The sequence below is a fragment of the Homo sapiens genome, chromosome 1 (assembly GCF_000001405.40).
Source record: "Homo sapiens chromosome 1, GRCh38.p14 Primary Assembly".
Taxonomy (NCBI): domain Eukaryota; kingdom Metazoa; phylum Chordata; class Mammalia; order Primates; family Hominidae; genus Homo; species Homo sapiens.
In genome coordinates, this window is record NC_000001.11 from 90,821,560 (window position 1) to 90,835,578 (window position 14,019).

General features: G+C 40.8%; 1 long non-coding RNA gene across 4 annotated transcripts in view, besides 1 other annotated feature; it reads right to left on the bottom strand.

Annotated features, from left to right (window-relative positions):
• Positions 1-14,019, bottom strand: part of LINC02609 (long intergenic non-protein coding RNA 2609) — a 68,667-nt gene that overhangs the window by 38,576 nt on the left and 16,072 nt on the right. For 3 of the 4 annotated variants that reach the window (NR_147930.1, NR_147931.1, NR_147932.1), the window contains one exon: positions 7,988-10,637. The exons of the other annotated variant lie outside the window; for it this stretch is intronic. This is a non-coding gene — a long non-coding RNA (long intergenic non-protein coding RNA 2609). Of the gene's footprint in view, positions 1-7,987; positions 10,638-14,019 lie in introns of those variants that run through there. 4 annotated transcript variants of the gene reach the window in all.
• Positions 13,201-13,840: an enhancer, noted in NCBI's record as "H3K27ac-H3K4me1 hESC enhancer chr1:91300317-91300956 (GRCh37/hg19 assembly coordinates)". NCBI's record gives its function as "activates a minimal SCP1, AML or CMV promoter by ChIP-STARR-seq in naive H9 embryonic stem cells {active_cell/tissue: H9 hESC(naive)}" and the evidence as "EXISTENCE:reporter gene assay evidence [ECO:0000049][PMID:30033119]".

Below are 14,019 nucleotides of genomic sequence, written 5' to 3' on the forward strand. Positions count from 1 at the left end.
ACCCACATCAATGGGAAGGGCATTTGTGACTCACTGAAGCACAAGTCTGTGCTAGACCAGGATGAAAGAACTGGGTTCTGCAGAAATCATCCAGGAAGCAGTGACTTTGGCTCTCGGCACATGGTTTGATTAGGTAACTAGGAATCTGCTCCCTTTGGTAACTTCACTCCCAGATATAAGAAGGATTAAGCTTCCGGGAGAGAAGAATTCAGAATGTGATCTTCCAACGCTGAAGGCAGTGGCTGCTGACATTTATCTACCCTAGTGCAATTTATTTTGCCTCAACTTCCCACTTGAAAAGCTGATTCTCTGTCTCTGTGAATAAAGTGGAGAGTGAGGACTCCTTCCTAAAGAGGCACTAGAGCATGTAGGTCACATGGAAGCCAGCTTACTGGCTTCTCAGGGATCCTAGAGGAGAATGGAAAACTTATCGCCCTCTTCAAAGACAGAGATTCCATTCTGGGAGCACTTTGCTGGGCAACTTTAGAAAATAGTTGGGTCTACAAACTCACTAGATTGCGGAGCAGATAATAGGCTGAACTTAGATCACAAGGCAGTCTACCCGGAAACATCTCTGGCAAATAGCCAACAGAAACCTACAAGACAAGGGGAAGCAGAAATGATGTCATGGGCAGGATCCTTGCAGTCATCGTGCATCCTTCCAGTGGGCCTCATTTGCCTGCCTCTGAAAAACCAGATGCAAATAAATATCAGAGCATGTTCATGACAGCAAAAGAGGCTGCCTCCTGCCCCAAAGCCCCTGGGGAGGGAGAATGCAGGTACCCGCTGCATCTTCTCAGGCACTGGACACGAGGCTTAGGGTGTTCCCAGGGGCAGACCAGAAGTGGATGGCCCTTTATAGGGTTTCACTCTGGGGCCAGATGCTTAACTAAACAATCTAAAAAAAAGATTCATAGTTGTAATTATGTTCTTTCTTTACAAAGAAAGTAACTGAGCTAATGCTATATCCAGGACAATTCTTGGGAAAAGAGAAAACGAAGGAAATTTGTCCTTAAGAAGTTACTGCCTAAACTCTCAATTAAACATTTATTAAGAACATAATACATGGCCAGGCCTGTAATCCTAGCACTTTGGGAGGCCAAGGCAGGTGGATCACTTGAGGCCAGGAGTTCGAGACCAGCCTGGCCAACATGGTGAAACCCTGTCTCTACTAAAAAAAAATACAAAAACATAAAAAATAGCTGGGCATGATGATAGGCACCTGTAATCCCAGCTACTTGGGAGGCTGAGATGGGAGAATCACTTGAACCCGGGAGGCGGAGGTTGCAGTGAGCCGAGATCATGCCACTGCACTCCAGCCTGGGCGACAGAGGGAGGCTCTGACTGGAAAAAAAAAAAAAAAAAAGAAGAAGAAATGTTTAAATGGTCCTGCATTCTAGGGACATTATCATCTAGTCATGTTCACAAATAAATGCCATTCATTTGTGCCAGCTGCTATAACAGCACAGATAGATACAAGGAAGGCACATAGGGGAGATTGGTACCTTGATGAAGGAGCTCATGGAAAGCTTCATTGAGGAGGAGTCATTTAAATTGACTCTGAAAGGATCAATCTAGATATTTACCAGGAGGACACAGGATGAAGTAGGTAGTGTCCTAGGAAGAAATAACTCAGGCAAGGTACAGTTTAAAACATCTCAGGTGTTTATGGATCTAGAAGTTCAATATGGCTGTAGTGAGTCTAGAGGGGGTGTGCCAATATGTACCTGCACACACGGGGTTTTGAGTGGGCTGCCAGATTGGGAAGGGGAAACTCTGTAGGAGTTGGACCTCGTATAGTCCAACATGAAGGAGCATACATGAAAGACCTTGTATTCCAAGCTAAGTGATTTGAATTCAATCCTGTAAGTAACAAAGAGTCACGAAGGACTCTATATAGACCAAACCTGGGCTTTAGTAAAGATCACTAGGATGCCAGCATGCTGACGAATGGGTTGCAGGGGGCCCAACTTGGCAGCAGAGGCCAGTTGGGAGGCCATTCATTGATCCATGTATTTTTGAGCACTGATGATGTACTAGGCACCTTGCAGAGGCACCTTGAGACAGCAGGTGAGTGATTAGGATGGTGATAAGGATTAAGGTGAGAGATGTAGGAACATCCACAGAACCTCTTACAGTAGAATGTGAGGAGTGTAGCGGGCTTGGGAGATTTCTGTCCTCATCCTCATCATGTAACAATGCTTGCTCTCAGGAAAAGTCTAACAAACCCTAAGGGTTAGTAGGTTATTCCTCCCAGAAACATCTGTCTTGAAGCAGTAATTAGAAGCCTTGAGTCATTGAAAGGAAGTCCTGATGGCAAATTTCCAGGATCTGGGTAGGAAGGTACTCTTTAATTAGGATCTCCTCCATGTGAAAGGGCATCTGCTCCACCTCTTAGGCCAACGCTGGATTCAAGGCAGAGCAGTGAATAACTAGTGTATTTTAGTGCCCTTACACCATGAGCCCAGTCTCCCAGGTCCCAGAAGTCCTTTCTCGTAAACACACACACACACACACACACACACACACACACACACACACACACACACGTAGTAGTCATGCAGGATCCTTATCCCAAGAAATATCCTTCCATCACAGAATTAAATATTTCTGCCCAGGAAGGACAACATGCTTTACAAAGGCAATTCCAGAAATCTTTCAGTTGTCTCATTATAAAGGCAGATCCATGTCAGGTGCTTCCTAAGAAGGCAAACTGTTCTTCTTGGAGTGAAAATGATCTCAGGATTTGAAGATTCAGGTGTGAACTGACTCACCTTCCTTCTTCTCCACCTCAAAATCTCTCACTGTCATATCTTTCCTACCAGTCTCTTAGCCCCTCCTGAGTCTAAGTCCTTTTTTCACTTGTTCTCTAGATAGTGGCATCTTCTCCTTCAGGAACTGCTTTTTAAAAACATTTCTCTCATTTCATTTTTTTTCTTTTATTTACTGTTATTCTTTTTATTTTCCCTGTTTTTTTAAATTTTCTCTCTTGCTTTTATCTTCCTCTTCTCCCTCTCCACTGAGTCCTTCCATTCCATCTACAACCTTGTTTGTCACCCCTACCCTCCTTTCAAACCTGTCATCCCTCAAGTTCCTATCAAGTCATTCTCCTGCCATTCAACGGAGTTCTGTTCCTCACCTCCCATATCCTCGTATATTCTCCCCATGAGATATCGCTCCCACTCAGCTACCATGTACCCCACCCCCAGCTCTCCTGAAACCACTTCCTTAAAGGTTGTTGATGACTTTACTATTGACAGATTTAACTACAGTACTAGTGGTCTCTAGTAGGTGAAAATAGCATGGATTTTAAGACACCTGGGATTTGCCATGTCACCAAATAAGTGATATTTGTAAAGCATGTAATGGCTCTGTGCCTGTTTTGTCTTCTACAAAATGGGCATAATAATGATCTTGACCCTCTCTATCCCACTGAATTGAAATGAGATGTATGTAAGTAAATTTCATAAACTATAAATTGCACTTAAATTATTAGTCATTATTATTGTCATGCTCACCCTTTCTAGCAATCAGCTTTGCTGACCACTCACTCCTTCTTGCAGTTCTCAGTCTGAGTTCCCACAGTACAATCCTGTCCTTTTTAATTTCTCTGCATTCTGGTCCTATCCCACAACTTCAGCTGTCCCTTCCATACAGATCTCCAATTCCAGCCTAACACTTCTCTAGGGGTCTTGACTCCAACCTTGACATGTACCAACCCAAAAGGATGAAAACTGAACCCATTTTTTTATTTCTCAAGACTGAGAAGGCAAAAAAAAAAAAAGACTGAGAAGGCTTCTTCGTTTTTCCATTCTCTTGAAGCTACCATGATGCTCCTGCTTAAATATCTTCCAAGATTGGAGACCAAATATTTAATGTTCTCTGAATTTCCATTAAGTTTAAGCAGTGAAAGAGCCTACACCAGTGTATCAGTTATCTATTGCTGCATATCAAATGACCCAAAAACTTAAGGTTTAATTAAATAACTATCTATTTAGTTCACTCCTATATGTCCTTCTGCTGCTGCTCTCATCTGGACTCACAGGTGCTTCTGTGATCCGCTGCTGGTCAGCTAGGTAGCTCTACTTTTGGGGTTGGCTAACTGTTGGCTGGACAAAGGGAGATACTAGGCCACATGTCTGTCATAATTCAGCAGGCTAGCTCAGGGTATCATTCACAGGGTAGCTCAGGGTTTCAGGAGCAGCCAGAGAGCAAGTACTGATAGTCAAGTGTTCTTTAAGTCTCTGCCTGTGATGTATTTGCTTCTGTCTCATTGGCTAAAGCAAATTACAAGGTCAAACTCAGAGTCAGTGTTGGAAGGGTACTATCAAAGGGCATAGATAAAAGAAAGGGAACATATATTGTGGACATTTTTGCAACAACTACAATTAGTCAACTTAGACATCTAATCTACATGAGTTTCTAATCCACATGATTTTTATGGCATAGAGTCTCCATGGAAAACCGCCTGCCCTGAGCATTCACTAAGAAGCTGCATTAAAGGTCTCTGTATTATTCAGGGTTCTCCAGAGAAATAGAACAAATAGGATACACATACACATACACGTACATGTATGTGTATATACACATACGCATATACACGTACGTGTATGTGTATATATACATACACATACGCATATACACGTATATGTGTATATATACATACACATACACGCATATACACGTATGTGTGTATACACATACATATACACGTATGTGTATACACACATACATGTATGTGTATATACACATACATATACACGTATATACATACACATGTGTGTATGTATATACGTGTATACACACACACACACATATATATGAAAGAATTCGCTCACACAATTATGGAGGCTAACTTCCACAATCTGCTGTCTGCAAGCTGGAGACCCAGGAAAGCTGGTGGTGTAGTTCTGAGAATCAGAGCTCTGATGGTGTAAGTCACAGTCAACAGCAGGAGAAGGCTAATAGCTCAGCTCAAGTAGTCAGGCAGAGAGAGTGAATTCCCTCTTCCTTGGCCTTTTTGTTCTATTCAAGTCGTCAGTGGCTTGACTAATGCCCATCTACACTGGAAAGGGCAATCTGCTTTACTCTGTCCACCAATTCAAATGCTAATCTCATCCAGAAACACCCTCAAAGACACCCAGAAATAATGTTTAATCTGGGTACCCCATGTTCCAGTCAAATTGACACATAAAATTAACATCACAGTCTCTAATGAATGTTAATCAGCCCTCACTTGCCCAGCTCTTTCTGAAATGTTTGCTGGAGAAGTAGTATGATTGCTTGCTAGACATTCTGATTGTCATGAAATACTAATGGTCACTTCCTGGCATCCCCTCATTGCATGTTATAAAAGAAAGATACCACACAAGCCAGACACAAAGCCTCAGGGACATACAGCTGGTCTCTCAAGGTTATCTTATCTCTAAACACAAAGGCTCAACCCAGCACTCAACCCAGCCCAAAGTCAGCAAAAAGCCCCAGGGTTACTACAACATCATGTAGATCTCACTTCCCAAGGACCCGGCCAGGCCACAGCTCACAAATAAATTACACAGGTGTTTTGTTCTGTCCCTTGGAGGGCCACACCCTGTGAAAGTTGGAGTTTGAGGGAAGAAGATGGTGAGCAAGGCCAAACACACAAGGAGAATTTGGTTCCTGGCCTCAGACATCTCATCAGTGTTGGAAAGACAAGGGAAGCAGGATCACTGACCCAATCACTGCTGGAGCCACGGCTAATAGGTATGATGCCATTGAGAGCTGCTGTGGGAATGTGGGAATAAGAATGCTCTTGGTAGGCCAGAGTTGCCAAGGAAGGCATCAGGGAAAAGGCAGGATTTGAAATTAGTCTTGAAAGAAGAAAGAGGTTTCCAGGCTTGGACAAGAGCATAAAAGAAAGATGAGTGTGGTGAAGAATAGTAAAGTCTACCTTGGCAGGGAGGGCAGCAGGAGATCAAGCTGTATAAATAATATGGAACCAGATATGGCTGCTTGCGTGATAGGATCTTAATTTAACAAGAAATCAAACTGCTTATGATCTTGATGAGTAAGAGAATGAGGAAAGTGTCCTACGAAGATTAATTTGGTGACAATGAATTACAGGAAAAAGAAATGAAAGCAGGGGTACTAGTTAGGACACTATTAGAGCAATCTAGGAGTAGTCCAGGTAAGTTAGAACAGAGACCAGAGAGAGCAAGGGGCATATCTCAGAGACACTTTAGAAGACTCAAATGTCCACTTTATATTAAGCTATATCCCACAGTTCAATTCTGTTCTCTTGAGGACTGGGAACAACTTGCCAAGAGGGATAACTATTTCAATGTAGAGAACCAAGGCAGATAAATTCACATTCTTCAACTAAAAAATTGGGGGATTTGTTTTTTTCTGATGGACTAATTGGGAGAACATTTTTAATGTGTCCCTTTCTACACATTTAAATGCAGCTCACAGATTATCATGAGGTTGAGATGAAAATGTAATGTTTTTAACACCTAATCTTGTAGTCAGTTGAGATATGGTACTGGGTTATGTGTTCAATCCCAGCCTAACAGGTAATAATAACCAATATATAGTTACCTCACTCAATATTCATGACAACCCCGTAAAGTTAATATTAGTATTATGTGAATCAATATTATTTCTATTTTATTTACAGAGGTTAAGCTACTTTCTAAGATCACTCATTTAGTAAGAAATACAACAGGAATTTGAATTCAGGTCTTTTGATTTCAAAGCCCATGCTCTTTTCGCCACATCATTGAATTTCCAACACTGCAAAGCAGAGGTTTGTTCTCTTTAAAGAATCGGAATTAAAGGATCAGAATTTTAGGTGTTTGTTCTCTTTAAAGGATCAGAATTTTAGGATATAGGCTGATGAGTCTTGACATTTCCTTAATGTAACAAGTTAAGTCTTTATTTAAGAGATAGAACAACCTGTGATTTTCTTCCATTGGTGGGCCAGACAGATAATAAAAATGATAGCAAAGGTTATTAAAATTTATACGGAGACTAGCATAGATTGGAATAACTACAAAGTGAATTCTTTAAGCTGCTATCGAAAGGTGGTGAAATAGTACAATATGAAAAAAAAAAAACTCTTCTTTAGCTTCAGATACCTAAATATGTCATCAAAAGACTGCTCAATTCTCAAATGCTAGTATTTTCTGACTCCTCTAAACCTATTCTTAATGCAAAATATCAAAGTCAGCGGGATAGTAGGTGTCCCAAAATGTCTTAATTCAGAGAATTAGTGTTAACTGAGCCTGATTAGCTCCATTTATCTCTAATTAATTACCTTTATCTAATTAGACACTTTGTTTCCAGTAGACATGGAGTCAAGTAGACTAGATTATTAGTGTAGTCATTGTGCCTTTACAAAATCCTGAAATTAATGAAACGTGCAAAAGAATCTGCAGTTCTAATTGCACAGGTGTTGCCTTATGGCAAAGCTTTATCATCTGATTACACCAAGGGGTTATTAGTGACTTTTTATATACAGGATGAGCCTATGAAATGTACCTTAGCAACAGCTCATTAGTTTAGGGTTGTTACTGTATTATTTATTACAGTCAGCCTTCCCCATTATCTAGATTGATTCATGGACCTATATATTTTTCCTCTCCTCTGTGCAGAAAAGATAAAATAAACCATCGTTATGAAGAGTCCAGATGCAATGTGAAAAAATGCAAAATGTGTTCATCAGCTGCAATTTGACTCTTTAAAACAGAAAGCTCTAAAGATGAGATCAGAATCAAATTTATGGTTATTTTCCATGGGAAAAGAACCAATTTAAAATTACTGAGGAGTATGGAATGATTCATACCTGTGATCCAAAAAAAATGTGGCTGCCCTAATATCTTCACATAACTGAACTGGCATACCAACGTATGTGGAAGACAAAAGCAAAATGTTTTTACATTAAAATATCTCTGGATTTATTTTTACTCATATCTTCCCAAAATGGATTGGCAAAGCACGATCTCTATATGTGTTCATCCACAACATTTATTTTAAAATCCATCTCATGCTTTACTTTTGGCAATTTTTTTCTTAAGGATGTGTTACCAGGTGGAGAAAACTAATAAATTATACAATCTAGCTTCGCTGAAAAAGCAAGATTTCAATATCTACTTACAAAAATGAAAAGTGCTTTTTCATGGCAAGGTTAGATACCTGCAAAAGACTGAAATAGCTCAACTTTTCCATTTTCTATTTTTTTCCTTGGAACTACTTGAAGAAGCACTGTTTTTCACAATCATAATAAGAGTAATTAAACAGCTAGAAGCAAATTTAGCCACAATCCTATTCCAACATACAAACATGTTTATTACAACACAGTAATTCCTTTAAATAATTTGTCAACATAAATATGTCAAATGGGTTTTAAAATCATTTCTCTCCCTGTTCCCCGACAAAAAAAGTCCTCTGGCGCTATGAGCTATATATTGCTGTTCACTTACTGCTGAATCCAAACTAGTGAAATGATAACGGGTAACTATTACACAGAGCATGACAACTAATTTGAGTGGTAATAATGAATATTTAATGATCCTCCTTTCAAGCAGGAACATATAACTTTTCATGTATGCCTTACCAAAATTATAACCATTAATCTAGAATTTATAGTTGCAACTGAGAATAATAGGCAGGAATTACAGATTATGGCCAAGTCAGAATATTGCATAAATATTCTGTATGAACACAAACACAGGGGAATGTAGGAAGCCCCAGCTCTCTGTTTTCATTCAATCCAAGTCCTCTCTTTGAACTGTACGGAAGTTGTGTGATAAGCAGAGATTTGAATCCAGTCATTAAGATGCTATTATTTCTTTCAAGAAATAAGTACAATAGCCAAGGTCTTTTTCACTCTTTACTAGCCCACACTTTGTAAAGAAAAATAACATGCATATAAAAATTTATCCCCTATAGGGGTAATATTTTTAGAATGCTCTATTTAAATCAAGAAAAAAGTGAACATTAAATTTGTCAGAAATGCAGAATTTTTACACCTTAAATTTCATTGATTAAATATGTGCTTAGTTTTCCCAGTGTGTTCCTTTATCAGAAACTACAATGTGACTTTGGGAAAAAGAAAGAGAAAGATCTGAAAAATGCAAGAGGCACTTTAAAATCGGCTTTGTTCACTGATGGAAAATATTTTTGGTTAAATTTCCAATTTATATCACTCCTGATATCTCAATATCTGAACAATTTCACACGCCTGTGATGTTGCACAGAAACACGTCTGCCTCTTTTGCTGGTTAGAATTGCTTCCTTGTTACAGGGTAGTTGAAAACCAGTGCCATTGCAGTTACAAATACGCAATTCTACATCAAATCCCAGTGCTCGTTATTAATTAATTGTTTTAAAAGGAGTGTGCTTATAAAATTCAAGAGGGGAAAAAAAGTCTAATAACGTGGAGAAGAGAAGCAAGTAGAATCTGAGGTTTCTCCCAGTTGTGACCCTCTTTATCAGAAATTGTGTCCGGATGAATGGCGCACCATGCTGGTACCAAGCTCATCAACATTGTCTGCCTCTCTAGGACTCCAACATACAGGCCAAAGGCGGCGTGTGTTGGGGCACATTCTCCAACTGCGTACATACCCACCGAATACATTTCTAACTGAGCAGGTGTTCCTGACTAAAGCCAGGGCAAGATCAAATAAGAAAAGGAGATTACAAACGTTCTTTGTAACAGGTAAAGTACTTCAGAAATTTACTATGGTAGCATTCTTAGGTAATGCTACATAAGGATACTAAACTCCTGATGAAGCTTCATTTGCTCACCCACAGCTTCATTGTTGCCCCTACATAGACATGGCCTTTAGTCAATAAAGTCTTTCTCATTCCTGGGTTCTTTCACAACCTTTCATTCTAGGTTTCTTCTGATGGTGAATATTTATGAAGGCATGCATACCAATTAATTATACCTTAGCAAGTTTGTTTTGCTATGTTACATATACATAGAAACTATGTATGGTATGTTAAAGAACATGTTCACAAATATTGGGAAGTTTATGTATGATTTTCATTTAGCCTTGTTCATCACCTCCTTGTACCAGCTTACCAAACTTTCCCAGAGGAGCAGCAGACCAAATTCCTTAGCACCCAGTGGCTCTGAGCAAATGCAGAACATGTAGCAAGATGCAAGAAGTAATGAGAAAGACCAAAACCACACACCAGGGGGACAATTTGGAGTGAAGAAAGGTTTTTTTGTTTTGTTTTTTAAGGGATGGGGAAAACCCAACTTTGGACAGTGGGAGAGAAAAAAGTTGCTGCTGGAGGCTTTTAAACACACATAGAACAGGTTCATATTGTGCTAAAAATATGTTTATGTATTAAGTTGGTAGAATAATATGAAGAGTAGGTACCCAGAATGAAGACACAAAACCTAATGTGCTCAAATATCCTCTCTTGTTGTTTGAAAAGTTGTCTGGAGAGCAGTGCAAAGCCTCTTCTTCCTCATGGGCCTGACTTGTCTGCTGCCGTGCTGTCCTCAGCAGCGCCGTGGGGTGGTGACTAATTGCCCCCGTAAATCACCGAGCAGCACTGTGCTACTCCGTTTATTTTTCTGACAGTAATTTAGTGCTTGCTCTTTCCCACACTTGTCATTCCGTGTTTTTCCTCACATTAGAAGCCTGTAGAAAAAGGACAGTAATTAACGGTGCAATACATACTCATGGAAGCTCTTTCATCATATTGTGATAATTGTGCTCCTTGTCTGTCAAGGTAACCTCTCAGTTTCTAAGCTTCATGCAGCATTATTTGTCAACTTTAAACTGAGGATACCGTTTTGACTGGAACTGAGCTACTTCCAACCAGCTTTCCTATTTGTCCAAAGAGGAGATCATTTATATTTTAGGCAATGTGTCAAAAATTTTAGCCTGATCCGCACAATAAGACGAAAGAGTCATAAAAAAGATACACTTGGGTTCTTCATTATTGGTGGGTTCTGAGGATGCGGGATTAGGAGTGTTAGGGGGATGCAGAGAGAGAGGGTGCGCATTCTGAGACTTTCCAGAGCAACCACCAAATATCTCATGCTCTCTAGCTTAAAAAGAAAGGGACCCTTTCTCTAATGCCAATGCCGAAATTTCCTTCCAGCTTGCTCTTTTGAATAATCAAAATAATTTCCAAAGTTCTTTTGGACCCGGGTGATGCCAGCACCCAATTTCAATCAGACACACAGTCGAGAAGCAAGGGACTGAGGAGCTCAGCAAGAGATGGGGATCTCTGTGCCAACAACCAACTACAAACAAAAGCTTTCTGCAGCATTTCCCTGGGATTGTATGAAAATGTTACAGCTCTTTGTAGTTTCAGGGGCTTCAGGGAATAATTAATCGACACAAAATCTGAAGCCCTACTAAAGTTATACCTCTCCATCTGTAAATCTGCTAAATGGAATGAATTCTTTTAGAACTGCTTCCTATGCTTCAAATGTCTGAAAAAAATAAAAAGCTAGCTTCCTACTTTCCTGCCACAAGGTTAACTTAATAGTAAGATATCAGGGAAATATTTTTTGAAGCTATTTCAGATTTTATTGAGGCTTTTTGACTGCTCCGCACCTTTCAGTCAGCTTTTTTTTTTGGCACTTGTACTGTTTTTTAATATCTTTCTCCCACTGTCATAGACAGAGGCTAATGGGATGTGTGGTCAAGATTTTGGGATCCATCAATGCCTCTGTCTAAAATTAGCATGGACCCAATACATCAGCTGCCAGAGCTGTCACAATCTCTAGTCTCTGATCTTCATTATATACTTCTCTGGTGCTACCTGTCTTTTCTCTAGACGGAAAACTACAGGCCCAGCCAGCCCTGACAAAGGGGTCCACCACACCCTTCAATGTCATACTCCACCAGAAAGCCATCCAGAAGCTTCCCCCAGAAATGTGGTTAAAAAAATAAACATCATTCCTGCTGTTCCTTAACATGGTTCTCTCCAGAGAAGGCAGTGTCTCTCCACAAAGGCTTTTCAGTGGGAATTAGTCTATTAAAAACTATTAACATAATTAGGAATCTCCTGCCCTTGTAACTACAGAGACCCAAGCCTTGATTATTCATGCTCCCGTCATTGTTATCGGGGTCTCCTCATCTCATTTACACTGCATGACCTCCCCTGCTCACTGGGAGCTGGGTCTCTGTGCTTATGAGGGTTGCTTGTTTCTTTTTTCGCAGAGATTATATCAGTAACTGCTAAGAAGGTCATGATAAAATGAAAAGAGTAAACCAGGGATACAGCTGGGGACTTTCCTGTTCTTTTCCTTCCCCTGATTAGCAAATCAAAGCTGCCTGAATGATTCACACTTTTCACCTGATTTTTGTCCTTTTCACTAATCATGTAGCAATTTTCTCTTGACTGACAGTTTTCTTTATAATTGGCCCTGATCTAGTAGGGTTCTAATAACCAGAAAATCCCCTCTGTGGGTCCAAAGGCTCTGGCGAATCGTCTCTCTTCTTTCCCTGGGCCATCTGTGGGCTGTGGCAAGCCACGTTTGTGGGAATAGAAGCTGCCTAATCTAAATGTTCAATAATGGTGTGAATATTCTATGAGGAGTGGAGTTAAGGACTTGAGGTAGCAGATTCTAATTACTGTTCATTTGCCAGAGTATCAAAGCCTAATTACTGTTCATTTTATGCTCCTGAGGAAAGGCGAAGTCAAAGCAGGGTTGTGCAGCCGCCCCCAGAGATCCCCAGTAAGCCTTTATCTGTCTTTCTGTTTAAATAGGTTGAGTGTTAGTATGTTAAATTACATCCTAGAAGCAAACAGATTCCACAAACAAACACCGTGATCTATGTTCTAAATAAAGAGTAGATGGCATTTGTAATACCTGGTTTATGCCTTCGCTCCTCTTTTCTGATTTATCTTTTTAATACGAGCAATAAATATCTGGGAGAAATTTAGTGAGCCATCCCTTTTCAGGCGGCAGTTCATCTTTGAAAGGATTTTCTCACCTCCTTCAACGGAAGTTTCCGCAGTCGCTATCTGCCACCTATTTGACAATTTCTGTCACCAATTAGCAACTAAATCAACATCAGCAAAAAACAAAAAGTGAAGATGCTTACAGTGCCTGGCTGCGTGTGTGCGGGCAGAGGCCCCACGCGAGAGGCTGGGGCTGCGGTGGGCGGCGTGTCTGTGGCGCACCCCTCTCTCCTGCACACACGGCTCTTGTTCGCGTGCGTACCCATGAGTGTGCTTCCCTATATATTTCTGCATGTATACATGCGTACATATTTCCTCCACCACATTAGGAGGCATCATATTGTTATCAATTCGCCGCAGCGCTCAGCAATAGATCAATGTGCCTGCCTTCGCAGGGAGGGATTGATGGGCCGGATTGAATTGTCTAGCTTTTCCTATCAAGAAGTTTGTCAGGTAATCTGCTGGCTGCAGTGTGAATTTACAAGCTGCAGACAACAACCTAATGAGGGAGCCAAGCTGTTAGGCGGGCTGCTCGCTCCATGATGAGATGCTAAATGAAAAGCTGGTGCGACACACGCAGTTTGTTATCATTCAATCTGCTTGAAACCGCAAACTGGTCATTATCCAGCCATTATTTTAGTTGATTTACAATCGCAGTGGATGAAGCAATTGCTGTGGCTTGTTCAATCCCCTGGCGGGAAGATGGGAACCAGCTTGTAATTTGCATTTACACGATCTGACTGAGCAGCTTATTAGATCTGGATATTTATTTTCCACTTAACCGATGTTTGATTACACTTTAATAAAGTACAAGAAAACTGTCTGGCTGCCTGCGTCTGATTGATCCTGCCGGGTGGTTTCTCTGGGATTTTTCGTAATGAAACAAGAGAGACCAGGGATGATGCATCTTAAGAAAGTGACAAAAACAGTTGACTATTACTCAGACGGGCTTTCGAGCAACGCGAGGAGCCGGCGCCGAGAGGCGCGAAGGCCCCGGCTCCTCAGCTCCAGGCCGCAGAAGCCCCAGGGCAGAGCCTAGACCAGCCCGGCGCCCCCACGGGTTGGGCCCACTTTCAAGCGGCGCCCGCGAGGAGCTCAGAC